Source organism: Homo sapiens, chromosome 1, assembly GCF_000001405.40.
Source record: "Homo sapiens chromosome 1, GRCh38.p14 Primary Assembly".
Taxonomy (NCBI): Eukaryota; Metazoa; Chordata; class Mammalia; order Primates; family Hominidae; genus Homo; species Homo sapiens.
In genome coordinates this window covers 13,611,658-13,629,922 of record NC_000001.11, presented here as the reverse complement: position 1 = coordinate 13,629,922, position 18,265 = coordinate 13,611,658, and the positions used below count along the sequence as shown (strand labels likewise).

Below are 18,265 nucleotides of genomic sequence, written 5' to 3'. Positions count from 1 at the left end.
GTGTTGCTTTATAATATACAAAACATTTACAAGCACTATCTGTTTGCTCCAGATGAAGTCTTCTGAGCTAGACCGGACTGTATTATTATTTCTGTTTTACAGATGAAGAAACAGACAGGTAATATTCTGCACGTGAACTGCAAATCAGGTCTTCTCACACTTGACTGCTGCTACTGCATGGTTTTCTCTTCTTAGGAGATCAGTTGGCAGCCTGCTGAGGGTAGACCCCATGGGAATAGGGCAGAGACTAGGAGCCAGGGGTGAGTGGGAAAAAACAGGAGGTGGGCAGGTGGCAAAGAAGCCCTCGATTTTGAAACTGTGCTGCTGTGTGGTTGGCTGCCTGACTGTAATCTGCAAACAGCATCAATAATGTAAGTTAGTCCCACTGGTGCTCCATAAATGAACAATACTCCCAGACCAAACAATTTCTTCTTTAGCAACAGACTCAAAGGAATATTTTTACTGGCATGCTTTACGGATTATTACAGTACTTTCTTTTTTGTTTTTTTGTTTTTTGAGATGCAGTCTCACCCTGTCACCCAGGCTAGAGTGCAGGGGCACGATCTCGGCTCACTGCAACCTCTGCCTCCTGGGTTCAAGTGCTTCTCCTGCCTCAGCCTCCCGAGTAGCTGGGATTACAGGTGCCCACCACCTTGCCCGGCTGATTTACCATGTTGGCCAGGCTGGTCTCGAACTCCTGACCTCAGGTGATCCGCTCACCTCGGCCTCCCAAAGTGTTGGGATTACAGGCGTGAGCCACCGTGCCCTGCCTAGAGTACTTTCATCTCAATGTTAGCATCTATGGCATAGTGTCTAACTTAGAGGAGACACTTAGTGAATATTTGTTCAATGCTCACTAAATAACTAGACATTGGGATTTCATTCATCAAAGTGTTTCTGACCACTAAAGGTGAATGTTGGGTAAGGAAGTTATTCAGGGTTAGTCATCATGGGGTGGAGGAATTAACGCAGCGAGGTCTGCCTGTGTGTTCCGCTCGTCATGCAAGGGTGGGCTCTGCCTATTGTTCTCGGCCACATTTCTTTCACCATGGATTCCTCCAGCATGAGTGACAAATTGGAATGACAGTATGGAAGGATCTGGTAACATCTGTCTGTCACAAAGGAAGCATGCTGGCTGCCAATCCATTGTTTGGAAGGATCAAGGGAATGGTGTGGGGTCAGAATGCAAAGGTCAGTGCTGCTTTCCATCTGGGATGGGCTGGATGGGTAGCGGGAAGCTGCCCTCACAGATGGTTGTTTGGAAGGCATATTCATTTCCTAGGGCAGCCGTGACAAATGACCACAAATTGGGTGGCTGAAAACAACAGCAATGTATTCTTGCATCGAGTTTGAAATCCAGGTGTCAGCAGAGCCATCTCTTTGTGAAGGTTCTAGGGGGGCCTTCTGGCCTCCTGCAGCTTCTAGGGGTGCCAGGTGTTCCTTGGCTTGTGGCAGCATCACTCCAGTCTCTGCCTCTTAGTGTGGCCTTCTCCCTGTGTTTCTCCTCTCCTGTTTGTGTCTCCTCTTCTTATGAGAATGCTTGTTATTGGACTTGAGCCCAGCCAGTTAAGCCAGGATGATCTCATCTCAAAATTCTTAACTTAATTGCATTTGCAAAGGCCCTTTTTTCAAATAAGGTCAACTTCCCAGGGACCAGGGGTAAGGACTTGGACCTGTCTTTCTGGGCGCCACGATTCAACCCATTACAAGTGGAGTTGGCTCCAGTTACTTTCTGAAAGTGACGATGATCAAATGATACATGTCAAGGGGATGGATATCCTAGTTACCTTGATTTGATCTTTACACATTATATGAATGTATTCAATGATGTATTCAAAGATCAATGTATTCAATGTACTGCAAAACTATGTACATCTACCATTCACCAATAAAAAGTAAATAAAATAAAATGAATAAAATGTTATGTGGAGAAATTCCCAATCAACATCAAGAATATTCCTTTCCTATTTGAAAAAAGAAAAGGCTGGGCATAGTGGCTCACGCCTGTAATCCAGCACTTTGGGAGGCCAAGGCAGGCAGATCCCTTGAGGTCAGGAGTTTGAGACCAGCCTGGTCAACATGGCAAAACCCCTTCTCTACTAAAAATACAAAAATTAGCCGGGCATGGTGGTGCATGCCTGTAATCCCAGCTACTAGGGAGGCTGAGGCATGAGAATCGCTTGAACCCACGAGGCAGAGGTTGCAGTGAGCTGAGATCTCACCACTGCACTCCAGCCTGGACAACAGAGAAAGACTCTGTCAAAAAAAAAAAAAGAAAGAGAGAGAGAGAGAGAGAAAGGAGAAAGAAGGAAAGAGAGAGAAAGAAAGAAAGAAAGAAAAATGTTGAATTAATTTTGTGTGCCTAGCAATTCTTTTTTATTTCAGAGAAGGTGCCTATTATGAAATTCTCCATTTTTGACATATTTCTTATAAATCTTTTTGGACTCTGGTGACCAGAAGGATTTCTCTTGGGGCCAATTTCACATCTTCAAGTTCTTTTTCTTTTACATATTAAGCAAATCTCTTCCAACATCTGATAAATCACCTTGTACTTAACAAAAAAAAATCACCTTATACTATAAAAACTGCTGACTTTGCACTAAGTCATGTTTTCATTAGAAATAATTAATTAGCTCCACAAATGTTTTCATGGAATGTAGATGAGACACTTCTATCATTTTGAAAAGAAATAATAAACATTTTATTCATATGCTTTCATATAGAAAAAAGTCAGATCAGGTGGTCATCTGAGGGAAAATAGATGGATAGAGACAAAGGATCATTGTGAAGTTATTGGCCACTTAAATCCAATTAATTAAACCACCTTTCTATGAGCATCACTTTTTTTTTTTTTTTTCGAGTCAGGGTTTTGCCTTGTTGCCCAGGCTGAAGTGCAGTGGCGCGATCTTGGCTCACTGCAACCTCCGCCTCCTGGATTCAACAGATTCTTATGCCTCAGCCTCCCAAGCAGCTGGAATTACAGCCATGAGCCACCGCACCTGGCTAACTCTTTGTAGAGACAGGGTTTCACTATGTTGCCCAGGCTGGTCTCAAACTTCTAGGCTCAAACAATTTGCCTGCCTCAGCCTGAGCATCACTCTTCTAAGAAAAATGCCAGGTAATTCCTAGTCATGTCTGAATATTTACTATTCATTTATTTATTTATTAGAGATGGGGCCTCACTCTGTCCCTCAGGCTGGAGTGCAGTGGTGCAATCACAGCTCACTGTAACCTCCATTTCTGAGCCTCAAGCGATCGATCTTCCTGCCTCAGCCTCCCAAAGTGCTGAGATTACAGGCACGAGTCATTGTACCTGAACTGGATATTTAAATATCCAAAAAATTAAATCATTTTTATTTTTATTTTTCCTAGGGGGCAAAATCCTGCTCTCTAGGGAAATAAAAGTTCTTTCATTATGACCCCCTTTGTCAAAACATTGTTTGTAATTCAAAAATCTAGAAACATTATAAATATCCACTGACAGGAAAAAACATAAGTAAATGGTGACTCAAAAACGACACCAGCTATGTAGATGCGTCAGAGTTCTTTGCATCCACAAGGATAAATCTAAAACAATATTGTGAATAGAGAAAGCAAGCTGCAAAGAATAATTTTGTGAATATAAAAGTTGAAAACATGCACATTCATGCTACATCTTGATTATCAACAGATACGTACAAAATAAGAATAGTAGAAAATGTGCATGTTCCATACGAAACGCACCCAGTTCAGGAGAATGGTCCCTCTGGGAAAGAGGGAAGAGAGGAACTGATGTCAGGAGGGTTCCTGAGGGATAACATGAATAAGTTTTTATTTCTAAAAAAAAAATTATATGGAAAATACAAGAAAATGTTAAGATTTGCTAGTGTCAGACGGTGGGGTATAGGAGGCTTTTTCATTACTCTCTGTAGTTTTCTATATGTTTAAAATATTTTATAATTTAAAAAATAACTTCCCTGGCCAGGCGCAGTGGCTCACGCCTGTAATCCCAGCACTTTGGGAGGCCGAGGCGGGCAGATCACGAGGTCAGGAGATCGAGACCATCCTGGCTAACACGGTGAAAACCTGTCTCTACTAAAAACACAAAAAAATTAGCCGAGCGTGGTGGCGGGCGCCTGTAGTCCCAGCTACTCGGGAGGCTGAGGCAGGAGAATGGCAAGAACCCGGGAGGCAGAACTTGCAGCGAGCTGAGATCATGCCACTGCACTCCAGCCTGGGCGACAGAGCGAGACTCCATCTCAATAAATAAAGAAAGAACTTCCCTATTCCCCACTGGCTGCAGAAATGATGTCTTTGAAATGCACAACTGTTGAGCTGATGGGGAGACAACTGATTTTAAAGATAACAAGTGGGGCCGGGCGCAATGGTTCGCGCTTGTAATCCCAGCACTTTGGGAGGCTGAGGCGGGTGGATCACCTGAGGTCAGGAGTTCAAGACCAGCCTGGCCAACATGGTGAAACCCCATCTCTACTAAAAACACAAAATTAGCCGGGCCTGGTGGCGTATACCTGTAATCCCAGCTACTCAGGAGACTGAGGCATGAGAATTGCTTGAACCCGGGAGGCGGAGGTTGCAATGAGCCGAGATTGCTCCACTGCACTCCAGCCTGGGCAAAAAGAGCGAAACTCTGTCTCAAAAAAAAAAAAGAAAAAAGAAAAAAGAAAAGAAAAGAAAAGGACAAGTGGACTAAACAAAAGAGGGATGGAGAACAAATAAAGACACCTGCATCCTGGTTGTACTTCGGGCATTGGGTAACTCTAGTTTTACGTAACTCTTTGAATCTCAATTTCTTCACTTGTAAATTGGAAATAATTTCTGCCCTGCCTGCTTCACAGGGATGATATAAGAGTAACTGACTATAATAATAGAAGTAAGAAGTGGTTGTTGGAATAATTGTGTTAATTACAGAATAGTCTCTGTGTTTTCATACAGGCATTAAGCATTCATTATTTACTTTAAAGCTGATAAAAACTTTGTGATATGAGTATTATTTTTCACACCTTTTCAGGCGTTCATCTTCCCATAGCTACCCCTGTCAACAAGGAACGGACAATGACTTGCGGGGGCAGAGTGGGTATCTGCAGTAAGCAGTGACCTGGGGCCTGGCACAGGAAGCTCTGGCCAACAGAGGCCATGGTGACCAGCCAGGCCAACCCGATTTCCTTAGACATCAGAAGTCCCGGAAATGTAGAGTGAATCAGTCTGCTGGTAGCCAAGGCTAAAGCTGAGAGAATACACAAAGAGAGGCCATGGAGGCAGGGTGGGGCCTTAAGAGTCCATGTGCGATTTAAGGGGTGAATCAGTGGACATTACCAATAAGCAGAAACCAGGAAGTAGAGAATAGATGCTCAGAGCAGAAAATAAATCATTGGTTGGTAGTGGTAGGAATCACAAAGGGAAGAAACGTGAAGGGCTAGATCACCCTAATATTGGCCACCAACACATGCCCATGTGGTTTTATCAGTCAGGGTGCCAGCAGGAAACACATGGCACCCTCAAAAGAGTGATGGCAGAGAGTTGGATGAAGGAACTGTTTGCCAGTGGCAACACAGGGTTAAGGAAACCAAAAAGGGACGGTGAAGCACCTGAAGGTTAGTGATCGTAAGAAGCCCTTAGCATCCATAGGTTTAAAGACACAAAAAGAGGAGTTTGTTCCTGGAACCTGGTGAGACTTATGGTAAAAGCAAAGGGCCACCCAACAGGAGCTGGGGTTTTTGGTAGAAAAACACAATGACTGGACCAGGCGTGGTGGCTCAGGCCTATAATCCCAGCACTTTGGGAGGCCGAGGCGGGTGGATCACTTGAGGCCAGGAGTTTGAGACCAGCCTGGCCAACATGGCGAAACCCCGTCTCTACTAAAATTACAAAAAATTAGCCAGGCATAGTGGTGTGCGCCTGTAATCCCAGCTACTCGGGAGGCTGAGGCAGGAGAATTGCTTGAACCCAGGAAGTGGAGGCTGCAGTGAGCCGAGATCGTGCCACTGTACTCCAGCCTGGGTGACAGAGTGAGACTCTGTCTCAAAAAAGAAAAACACAATGACTGGCAGCATGTGGCCTTGCAGAGAAGAAGCCGGAAGAATAAATACTTCAGCCTGTCTCTTCTGTTGCCCTTGGATCACCTCTCAGTGCCTTCCATTGGCCAAACCCAACCAGAACCTTGAGAGCAAGAGAGCTTGGTTGATGTAGTCTATTCAAGTCAACCTCTCAGGTCACAGAGTCAGGGGAAGAAAAGTGGAGAATAGACTCACCAGGGCACAGGAAAACTGTCCAGAACAGTGGTAGAGGTGTCAAGATAATCCAGAGTCCAGTGCTGTGTAGAAAACTCTCAGTTCCTGTAGGCTGAGCTATGTGGTTGCTTGGGGGTTCCCGTAGGATTTATTTCCCATGTTTTCACATGGGAATGTGTATATATGTAACACATAACATTGCATAAAGATGCTTTCTTTCTGAGTCTTGGTTCCTTTAAATCAAGAGTGCGATGACGTAAAAACGTTAAGCAATTTCCTCCACACTGGAAGTAGGACAGCCTGGAACCAAAGCTGCAATAGCCAGGGTCTAGAGCCATGCTCTTTTCACTTGACTACAGTGGAGGTACAAATGTGATATCAGCCCCATGATAAAGTATAGAAGCTGCCGGCGCCTACGGCCATACCATTCTGGATGCGTCTCAGAAGCTAAGCAGGGTCAGACCTGGCTGGTACTTGGATGGGAGTATATCAGCCACTGGGTGCTGTGGTGCATGCTTGTGGTCACAGCTGCTCAGGACCCCGAGGTGGGAGGATTGCTTGAGTCCAGGAGTTTGATCAAATCCAGCCTGGGCAACATAGCAAGACCCTATCTCTTAAGGGAAAAAAAAAGTGTAGAAGCCCTTGACCATCAAGTTATTTTGTAGGAAATCACTGGATCACTTTTAGAATGTGGTGACATGTGCAAACAAAAAAAGTACATTTTAGGAAGATCCCATTGGTAGAATGCAGATCAGATTGGAGGAGGGGATGTGGGCATGTAAGTTTGCAATTGTGATGAGATTTTGCTTGAGGATCTGAATTAGGAGGCTGATGGCGCACATGTAAAGGGGGAGGCACTGTTCACTTGTTATGTGCCAGTTACTGCTGCAGGGACCAAGGATGTAGCCGAGAACCAAACAGATGCCTGCTCTTCTGGAGCTTATGCCATTTGAAGCTCTAAGAATAGATGAGTTCTCCAAGGGAAAGACCATAGAGAAGCAAAAAGTAAGCCTGAAGCATGCCTGTGAGCAAAGAGGGGGAAGTGAAGAAAAGAGCCAGTGGAACAGCTTGCAGAGAACCAGGAAGGGCAACCAATAAGGGAGCATGTCATGCAGGCCAAGCGAGAGAAGACGGCTTCAAGAAGGGGACCAAAAACAGGGCTGATGGCTGCAGAGGATGAATGAAGACAAGACCAAGAAGAGGGCCTGGAATTGACATACAGGAGGTCATTCGGAAGCTTGATCAGAGCAACTCAGTGCAGCGGATGGATGCTAAACTGAGAGGTCAGTAGGAACCATTATAGTTGGGACTTACAATAGAAGTGCTGTCTAGGGAAGAGAGTTGGACGCCCAGCATGCAGGAGGATTTTGATGTGGTCATCATTCTGGCCTGAAGATTTATAGTTTTAAAATCCTAGTTGCATAACAGTAACCGGGGTTGAGCAGGTCCTAGGACCTAACTCATGCCAATCAACTCATAAGAAACTGATTATAACCCCAAATGTCAAGTTAGTAATTTTCAACTAATAATATTTTCCAGTGGTGGGAATATTTGTGTCCATTATCCAGGACACCCTCGTTCCAGTATTAAGCTACTTGGGGAGCTGGATTTTTTAATTTATTTATTATTATTATTATTATTATTTTTTTTTTTGAAATGGAATCTCGCTCTGTCGCCCAGGCTGGAGTGCAGTGGCGCGATCTTGGCTCACTGCAACCTCTGCCTCCTGGGTTCAAGTGCTTCTCCTGCCTCAGCCTCCCGAGTAGCTGGGACTACAGACGCCTGCCACCACGCCCGGCTAATTTTTTTTGTATTTTTAGAAGAGACAGGGTTTCACCGTGTTAGCCAGGATGGTCTCGATTTCCTGACCTCGTGATCTGCCCGCCTTGGCCTCCCAAAGTGCTGGGATTACAGGCGTGAGCCACCGTGCCCGGCCGGAAGCTGGATTTTTAATCAGAAGACTGTGAGATGGTACGGAAGAGAACAACAGGAATGGCTAATCCTGAAATGTATTTCATCCAATCCATGGTGGGAGACTCCTTTGGTGATCTCTCTGCATATCCCTGACTCTTAACCTTGAGGTACACCAAAGCTCAGTTCTTGGACTTGCCTTTCTCTATTTATACTCTGCCCATGGTGAGCTCATCAGCATCATGGTTGTTAGGTTCTAGCAAGTCCCAAATTATGTCTCCAGTCAACTCTCATTTAAACTCTAGACTCATGTGCCCAACTGCCTGCTTCATACCCCCAGCTGGATATCTGTACTCAGCTCAAATTCTGCATGTTCAACACAGAACTCCAACTCTGCCCTATCAAGCCTGCAGCATCCACAGCCTTGCCCTATTAACTGATAGCAACTCCATTATCCTAGTTGCCCAAGTCAAAATCCTTAGTGTCACCTTGACCCTCCCATTTTTCTCATATCCCACATCCAATCTATCAGATAATTCTGTTGACTTCATTCAAATTATCACTAGAACCAGACCACCTTAAACCACGTCCACTGCTATCATCCTGGTCTGAACTGCCATCATCTCTTGCTTGGATTCTCACACTGGCCAGTTCCCAACCAGAGGTGAGGATTTTTTTTTTTTAATGTAAGTCAGATCATGTCACTCCTCTGCTCAAAAGCTTCCCATGGCTCCCCATTTCCAAGGGCACTCCACCTCTCTGACGTCATCTCCTACCATGGTCCCCTGCGCTGACTGCTCCAGCCTTCTGAGCTTCCCTGCATTCCCTAAAACATGCCAAGGGTGCTCCTGCCTCAGACCTTTGCTATGCCCTTTGCCCAGAATACTTTTCCCTCAGGTACCCATCAGGATCACTCCTCGCCGTGCCACTTCAGGAACATGGCTTGACTCTCAGAGAGGCCTTCTCCCACCCCAGACTCCATGCTGCAGCTCCTCCAAACTTGAACTTCCTCTCCTTGCTGTGTTTTTCTCCATTGTCTCTCATTTTCACACTCTTATGATTTACTTATTTTTTTTTTGCAGTCTCCAGCATTAGAATGTAAGCTCTATGTGAGCAGGAATTTTTGTTGGTTTCATGCACTATGGATTCCCAGCACCTGGGACGGGCCTGAACATAAATATTTGAATGAATAAATAAATGAAGGAACAGATTACTCCTGTCCCATGAGAGTTCTTCAGCAGTTATACCCAAGGGAGTGTCTTTTGTTTCTGGATCTTGCTGGACAAGAATCCTACTCCCTTTCCAGTGAGCCCTGGGCCATCCACAGATCCAGCCTCACCTACAGATGCTCTGTGGAAGGGTGGGAACAGGAGCAACAGGAAGGGGTCCACCTCCTGCTTCGGTCAGGACACCTGCACACCTTCCTGAGGTTACATGCGGAGGACCGTAAGCTCATTTATTCAAACAAATATTTCAGACGACCTCTTTGACTACTTCAGCAGCATCCAGAGGGAAGCCGTCACTTCAGAAACATTTGCTGATCGCCCTGGTATGTGACCAGCACGTGATTGTTTTCTCAAAAATTTGCATCAGTGGAAAGGCAGAGGCAGCAGTAGAGAAGGAGGTAGGAAAGAAAAAATGGGAGGAGGAGCAAGGTCTCAGAACCACGCATAGGACTGTCTGTACTATGGCCCGGAGCCCTTGGATGTAGAAATAGAACACGCTGTGCTTTGAGTCAGCATCTGATAAAATAATCTCAGAGTAAGAAACAGTGCTGAGGAATAGTGTTTAGTGCTTTCAGGCTGGCTTTGCCTGTACCAGGTACGTACCTGCATGCTGGGCCCCTGAGCCAAAAAAACTCCCATTCACACCAGTGAGTGTGATTTTAGACTCATTCTGCATTGTTGACCAATAACCACACTTACATCATTTATATTTACTGAGTTGAAAAATCCAGGATCTATTATATGTTCTAACCCGATTTTAAGCTTCAGGAAGAGCAAAGAAAAAGGCAATGTTTCAGGGAACAAGTCCTCCAGCGCACACAAGGGGATGACTCTATTTTTAGTGCATGTGTTAACATGCAGCTATATTTTGGGGAGGATTCTTTTTCCACTTCCAATGGACTTTTAATTGGCAAAAGTTTTAATATCAAAACGTGCACCATTCCCCAATCGAAGCATGTCACAAACTGCCCCATGCCCTGAATACTAAATAAATCTGAATTAAAATAAAAATAGAGACAGCAAAGGGATTAACAGTTCCTTGCTCTTTCCTATTCATGAAAGCCAAGCCTTGAAGGTGGCCCATGAAGCAGAACTAAGCCCTGGTTTTTCAACTGGTTTTCCCAGGTTGAGGGGAAAAAGTAGGGGTTAAAAACAAGGCCTTTATATCATGCAAAGAGCTAACCTCAGCACCCCCTGCTCCCAGATGTCTCTGATAGAGCTGTTTCCCTAAACTTTCAGAACCCTGGCAGCTCCCCCAGTTTCCAGTCATCTCCTGGGGGTGGCATGTAATGGAATGTAAATTTACATGTAACATAGTTGAGGGTCCGTTCTCTTTCAATCTGTTGGACTAGGTAGACGTGGTTAGTTTCCTGCTAGAAAAGGGATGCTTTCTGACATCTCATGAAAGTTCTTAGAAGAAACTGCAGCCCAAAGAAGTTAAATGACTTCCCTGAAGGGTTACAGGTGTGGAGGAGCAGAACAGGACTAGAACCCTGGTCCATTTTTTAAGAGATGGGGCTCTCACTTTGTTGCCCAGGCTGGCCTTGAACTCCTGGCTTAAACGATCCTCCCACCTCAGCCTCCCAAACAGCTGGAACTACAGGCATACAATATGGTTCCTTGTTTGGAACTCAAATGGGCACCCAGGATTACTGACAACGGACAAATTCAACAGTCCTAATTTAACAATATTGAATATTTATTTCGAGGAAGTCATGGGGCTAACTGCTCTCCCGCTCCTAGCACCTGATCCTTACGCTGGCAGGGAAGGGACCCGCATCAGGAGGATAAATCCACATGGAGTGGTGCGGTGGGGTCGGGAGGAGGAGATCTGCAGCACCCACCCAGGAGCTGGCCAGGGCAATCTCCAGACAGAGTCGGGGTGAGCAAGGAACCGTGGGGCGTCCCCCAGCAACAGGGATTCACCTCTCCTGAGGTGAGGTTTCTAGGGAGGACTAGCAGGGGCAAGATGAAATTGCCCCCTCACCTGGTTTTACCCTCCAGTGCTGAGAAATTAATCAGGTGGCTGGGCACAGTGGCTCACACCTGTAATCCCAGCACTTTCGGAGGCCGAGGCAGGGAGAGATCACGAGGTCAGGAGATCAAGACCATCCTGGCCAATGTGGTGAAACCCCGTCTCTACTAAAAATACAAAAATTAGGTGGGTGTGGTGGTGCACGCCTATAGTCCCAGCTACTTGGGAGGCTGAGACAGAATTGCTTGGGCCCAGGAAGTGGAGGCTGCAGTGAGCCGAGATCGCGCCACTGCACTCCAGCCTGGGCGACAGAGCGAGACTCCATCTCAAAACAAAACAGAAAAAATCAGGGAAAACCTCATTAACCCTTTGGGACCAGAGAGGGAGAGAGCCCCCAGGTGCCACGTGTCTCCCATGCCCATGCTTCTACTTGACCTCTCTACTTTGGCAGACCTAGCTGAAAGGTGTAGGTGTGTTTTCCTCCTGTGGAATTCATTCCCCTGGCCATCTATAATCCACTCTCAAGCAAGGCAACAGGCAGGCATTTACCTAAGTTGTAATCTTATCTGGAGATGTTCCCAAGTGTGGCCCAGACTTGTGTTTTCCAACAAAAGTCTGACTCATTGTTGTACACAATCATTTGTTTTATTTGAAAACATGTCTACACTGCATTGAGCACCAACACAGGTGTGACCAAGAAACCCACAGTCCTGTCCCCGCAGGCACTGGGTCCAGTGTATGACTTGGGGTGGACTGTTATTTTTCACAGTGAGGGGGGAAGAAAGGATAGGAAAGAAAAGATGGCCATTATCCCAACTCCTGTTCAGGAATCTGAACAATGAGTTATTTAAACTCATCCAGCTCTTCTCATTCCCCTTCTCTCAATCAGCTGGTGTTCAAATATGGAATCTGAGGCCGAGCGCAGTGGCACACGCCTGTAATCCCAGCACTTTGGGAGGCCGAGGCGGGCAGATCACGAGGTCAAGAGATAGAGATCATCCTCGCCGATACGGTGAAACCCCATCTCTACTAAAAATACAAAAATTGGCCGGGTGTGGTGGTAGGAACCTGTAGTCCCAGCTACTCAGGAGGCTGAGGCAGGAGAATTGCTTTTTGACATCCTGACACATGTATAATTGCCGGGAGGCAGAGTTGCAGACTACGTTTCACACACACACACAAAAAAAATGGAATCTGAGCTGGTGGGGCCAGCTGGATTTGGGAACACACAGACACACTGTTTAAAATAACATCCAGACATCATTGCAAAAAATGGGAGGAATGGGCTGTGCTTCCGAATGATAGTTTACTTTTTCCTGTTTTATGAATGCTTACAAATTTAGAGGATACCAGAATTGCACAACCGCCATCATGACAGAGCATCTGCTCAGTGTAAAAACTTTGTTTAGGAAAAAAAAAAAAAAATCCAATGGATATATGGGAAGAGAAGTGCCAGGCTGGATGGTGCTGAGACAGAATGACCCCTTGGGCTCCTTTATTTTGTTCTTTTCAACAGGACCCCACAGATATTTGCGGTATGTCATGAGGACTGGGGATGTCTTCTATTTTTAAATCAGGTATTTAGTCAAGCTGCTTTTAATATTAAGACTGTACAAATTGATTTTTGTTCCCTGTATCTTTCCTCAGAGGCAGAAAGTGAATGTTATAAAACTGGCAGATTTTATTTCTCATACCAGAGGCTCACACAGGATTTCTTTCTGCATGGGGGACAACTGGCTCTTGGTTTCAAACACACTTGAGCCTCTAGCACCATTAAGCATCCAGCAGCTTCCTCGGCATCCAGGCTGAGATATCCATATTCCAGAACAAAGCAGCCAATGTGAAGGATGTGCATCACTGGGAAGAGAGAAGGCTGCCCCCTTAGCCCTGGCTCCTCATCATCTGAGGGAAGTGGAGGGGGCAGGTGGGAGCAAGCTTAGAGTCACCAAGTCATGGCTGGAGAAGGATTTGGGTAAAGCAACTCTAGAGGCTGCCTGGTGGCCTACTTGGGAGAAACAAAGTGCCTTTGAGACTATCGACTTCCTGCTTGTGATCTAAAATGGATGTCTTTGAAATGATTAATCTGGACCAGCTAAAGGCAGTTGTTCACCACGTGTTATCCAAGTTTAGATTTCCTAGTTGATTATTCACACCAGATCAGGCTTTAAAAGATAGACCAAACTAGACCAGAATGTGTACATTTCAGCAGATCAGCAATTGCAAAATGCTGGTGCTATTTACTGACGTAGCACTGGATCCAAGGACTCCGTGGATATAAATATTTCCAGATTCCTCTGCATTTTAACAATAACAAGAATGGTCAGACGGAGACACATGGTTACAGCATATAATATCGATCCAATGGTCCAGTGTTAGTTACAAATCAGTTTATACAGTTTTGCTCCATTTTCTATGAATTTTGTCTTTCAAATAATCTTTTATAGAATGTATATTCAAAAACATGTTTGAACAGCAAATGTTTAGAGGAGCCAAGTCTGGTGAACGGTCTTTCCTTCGGTTATTTTGGCAAGCGGAGAGGTCACCGTGGATTCTGAGTGGGCCAGGCAAGTGTTCCACGGGTCATCTTCTCCCACGAGCTCAGGGACAGGGCACAGAGTCAGAAACGGTCTTTTTTTAAGCACGTTGGCAGCAGGGCGTAACCCTTCAGCTCTTTAGGGCCTGTGAAAATAGAGAAGGGTGACGGTCGTGTCTCTTACTGGCATTGTGAATAGTAACTCCGTGAGTCCTTTTTCCTATTGTCCTTTGCTCTAAATCTTCCAAGTTCTGACACCTGGTGATCATCTCTTGTTCCTGACATTCCTCCTCCATGCCTTCGTCCTCACACAGCAGGGTCAAACTGCCTGGCTTTTCCAAACACGCTAAGTCCACAGCTGTGTTGTCCCCTGTATCCCTCAACCCTCCAGGTGTTTATCACTTGTCCTCTCCCCTCCCTTCCATCATATATCATCCCTCCAACTCATATAAGAAAAAGGTTTTTGGCTGGGTGCGGTGGCTCATGCCTGTAATCACAGCATTTTGGGAGGCTGAGGTGGGTGGATCACGAGGTCAGGAGATTGAGACCATCCTGGCCAACATGGTGAAACCCTATCTCTACTAAAAAATACAAAAAATTAGCCAGGTGTGGTGGTGCATGCCTGTAGTCCCAGCTACTTGAGAGGCGGAGGCAGGGGAATCGCTTGAACCTGGGAGTCAGAGGTTGCAGTGAGCCGAGATCGCACTACTCCATCCAGCCTGGTGACAGAGCAAGACTGTCTCAAAAAAAAAGAAAAAGAAAAAGAAAGAGAAAGAAAAAGGTTTCCTCTGGCCATGAGTGTAGATATTCTGAATTCTTAAGGAAGCTTAATAAGGAGAAAAAACTCCTTCCCTTCAACAACAGTCAAAGCTAGGAGTCTATGACCACGTATGTGGGTGCACGCAGGGCAAGAGCGGAAGATCTCAATGAAAAAGACCCCATCCTCAGTGGAACTCCTAATCCGAATGGGCTGCCGACTCTGTGACAGGCGGTTTTCTAGAAGCCTTTTCTCTGATGGTTGGAGACGGGCTGATTAGGCATCAGATTAAAACTTGGTTTGGGTTTTCTTCCAAGTTCAGTTAGTTGGAAAATTAAAACAAGAGATCAAATGTGGTCAGATCTCAACAGAAGTCAACTTACAAGCCACCTCTGGCTCTGACTCTCTTATTTTGGAAATTTATAAGGTCTAAGTAGACATTTGTCCTTCTGGGGAAACTTCAGATGTAGTCCTTTTGAAGATGAAGAGGCTCTTTCTTATTTTTAAGAGACACAGTCTTGCTCTGTCACCCAGGCTGGAGTGCAGTGGCACAATCATAGCTCACTGCAGCCTCAAATTCCTGGGCACAAGTGAACCTCCTGCCTCAGCCTCTCAAAGCACTGGGATTCCAGGTGTGAGCCACTGCACTCAAGAGGCCCAAGTAAGGAACTTTGGAACATGACCATTGTACCAGAGATTATTTTTTTGAGACAGGGTCTTACTATGTTGCCCAGGCTGGTCTGCAGGTGCCCAGCAGCTGAGACTACAGGCACGAGCCACCACACCCAGCTTATATCAGAGATTTCTATTAGTTCAAAGATTTGAGTTCTAGACACGATGGCTTTCATTTGCCTATCACATGGGTGTAAGCTATTTACTTACGAGTACCTTCCCGACATTTTTCGCATAACCACAACGATGATTGCACCAATGAAGCCGATGGCTAGTAAGACCCCAACTATGATTCCAACCAGGGTCACTGTTGACAAACCATCTGAACAAGAGAGAGAAAAAAAGCATGAGCCCCAGAGGAAAAAATACATCGGTGATAAAATATGTAACATATAAACAAAGCCACTGCCCTACTGCACATAGCAAATATTGCTCTATGTTGTTTGAGCATGGAGCATTTCTTCCAAAAGGAGAAAATTTGGGCTAGTCTAATCCTATTTTACAAATGGGAAGATTTCTGGGTCTGAGGATCTATCAACGTAACATTCACATTGGCTTAAGTGTTAATTTTTGGGTAGTGTTTACGTATGACTATTAAGTTGGCCCCTATTTTCATCCTTAGTAATGATGAACTGTGATATGACACCATTCCCCATATCTGACATTAAGGGAATAGACTCATCTGAGGTTTGCTTAGTTTCAAATACAAGAAATTCCCTTTTCTCTCTTTAAAAAAAAAAAAAAAAAAAAAGCTTGAAATCTGTTCTCGGAATGTTTTCTATTCTGCTCTCATTGACTGCAATCCAGAAAAGAACGCAATTCGTCTCAACAATTAGCTTCAAAGAAATTTTTAAAAAACCCCAGTAAGAGTATTTTGATGCCAAAATCTAGCCTACCTTTCTCAACTGTTGTCTGTGTGTCTCCATCCACTTTCTCTGTGAATAGAAAGATATAATAATGTAGAATTATTAGGGTTTAATAACTATAATTTAACAACTGGCAAAAGATGAATTTACCCAAGTGGAAAGCAGCAAAACATAAACCAAGAGGATGGCTTCTTAAATAAATTGGATCCAGGGATTTTTAAACAAGCCCCGATGTGGCACTGTCTTTGTAACTATTATTATCTAATTTATGAACCCTTATTCACACCAATGGGTTCATAGCACTTTTCTACGTATTAATTTTATAGTTTAGAAAGCAGAGTAAAGGAAACTGAGCCACAAAGATCTTAAATAAATGATCAAGGAGTATCAGAGGTTAAGGTAGCAGAAGAATCCAGAGCTGTGGATTCTTAGTCCAATGTCAAGATCACAGAGAAGGGACAGACTGTGAAGAGGTATTACTCACTTTGAGATTAATACTTTAGTTTGGGAAGATGTGACCAAGATTGTGGTTAGTCTCAATATCTATTTCCTGCTACTTCTTTGGTAGCAAAATCCAAATTTTTACAAGGCAACAATAGGCCCAGCTAAGTTTCATGAGCAAATATACCCTTTGTGTTTGTGCCACTGTTATTTTAGGGTCTCTATCTGCAGTCAAACCCAGTCTAATAGTTACAAGGTGAGTATTTGTCATTGTGAGTTTCTTTTGAATAATTTTATGCAATAACCTATTTAAAAATAAAAATGTCTTTTCTTCTTGACCTCTTTATATAACGAGTCCTTAACTCCTCTGGGTGGTGGCTATTGACTAGTTTGCAGATAGAGAAAAAGTCAAGATGCCTTGATTTAGAAGTTAATCATCAATCAGGCCCTGCCCTAAAATCTTAGTTCACAGCTTGCAAAATACCCCAGATATCCAGTAGCTTCCCTAATCAGTGGTAAAACTAGCCAACTATCATGTAAAAGATGCCTACTTTTTCTAATGGTTGGGTTTGAAAACCATCCCTTTTGTGCCAAGGTTCTCCTCAGCACAAGGCGCCTCCACAAGATGGCCCCAGGGTAGAGGTCCCAGAAACCAGCACTCCCTGCACAAGCTGAGCCCATGGGTATAGAGCACGTAAGAGCTCATGCTGACTGTGCTACCCCACCATATAGGACACGGCTGGATTTGAGCTTTCCCAGAACAAAGACGGTATCAAATCAACTCCCCAAATGTCACTGATAGAAGTCAACTGCCCGAAGAGATAAGTCAATCATTTGCTTATCACGTCCTACCACGTGGCAGCTGATTCCAGGCTCTTAATATACCATTATCAAAGACACCATTGGTTAGAAAATATATTACTAAAGTTTGTGGAGGATTTGTTACTAAATTAGAGCTTATTAGTGCCATATTTCCCATCTCCCTCCCAATGGCACTGTGATCATAAGCATGCATCATACATGTGCACGTCATCGTATTTGGGTGTTTCACAGCAAAACCGAACATCTGCTGCCCTAATAAAATTACCCCTTCAAAACTGAGTGCTTATAATGACATTTTGGCTCACATGTGAAAATGTCTTGGAATAACGATGTATTAAGTAGGAATGTGCACTCAGTCACAATTTTTTTGTGACAGGAAGGGGCAATTTTGTGACAGGGTGGGGCAGGGGACAGGAAGAAACAGTAACATGAGTTACTTCCCAGGCAACTGAGAATTTTTTTAAAGGAACAGAAAATGAGTATGAAGTATGACAGAATATTCAACATGGATGGCAGAATTTTCTGCTGCTAATTAGCTGTCAACCCACGTTACAAATGAGCAATTCTCCAAAATTTTGAAATGTTTTCCAATGATCATTTATATTGATTATTCTTTCTTTGCTTAGCTCAACTTGGCTTTCTCTGGTGTTTAAATGTTAACCATTTCTTTAACAGCTTGGAGTGAGCTTCAGGTTTTATCTCAAAGCCCTTTATAAGGTTCCCCCCACTCCCCGCCAACACTGTGGTAAAACATACAGGATAAAATGTACTAAATTAACCATTTTTAAATGTACAGTTCAGTGGTATTAAGTACATTCACACTATTGTTCAATCA

The 18,265-nt window shown here is 44.4% G+C and overlaps 1 protein-coding gene and 1 pseudogene across 8 annotated transcripts in view; one reads left to right on the top strand and one right to left on the bottom strand.

Moving 5' to 3' along the window:
- On the top strand, positions 6,639–6,739 carry RNA5SP41 (RNA, 5S ribosomal pseudogene 41; annotated as a pseudogene).
- Positions 11,966–18,265, bottom strand: part of PDPN (podoplanin) — a 34,201-nt gene continuing 27,901 nt past the window's right edge. For 4 of the 8 annotated variants that reach the window (NM_198389.2, XM_047434471.1, NM_001385053.1 and 1 more), the window contains exons 4-6: positions 16,198–16,236; positions 15,518–15,623; positions 11,966–14,018 (exon numbers count right to left, since the gene is read on the bottom strand). In NM_198389.2, coding sequence (NP_938203.2) covers positions 14,012–14,018; positions 15,518–15,623; positions 16,198–16,236 — 152 coding nt within the window. In that variant the 3' untranslated portion in view covers positions 11,966–14,011. Of the gene's footprint in view, positions 14,019–15,511; positions 15,624–16,197; positions 16,237–18,265 lie in introns of all 8 variants that reach the window. The other 4 variants (NM_006474.5, XM_024451404.2, XM_006710295.2 and 1 more) reach the window with 1 other exon arrangement.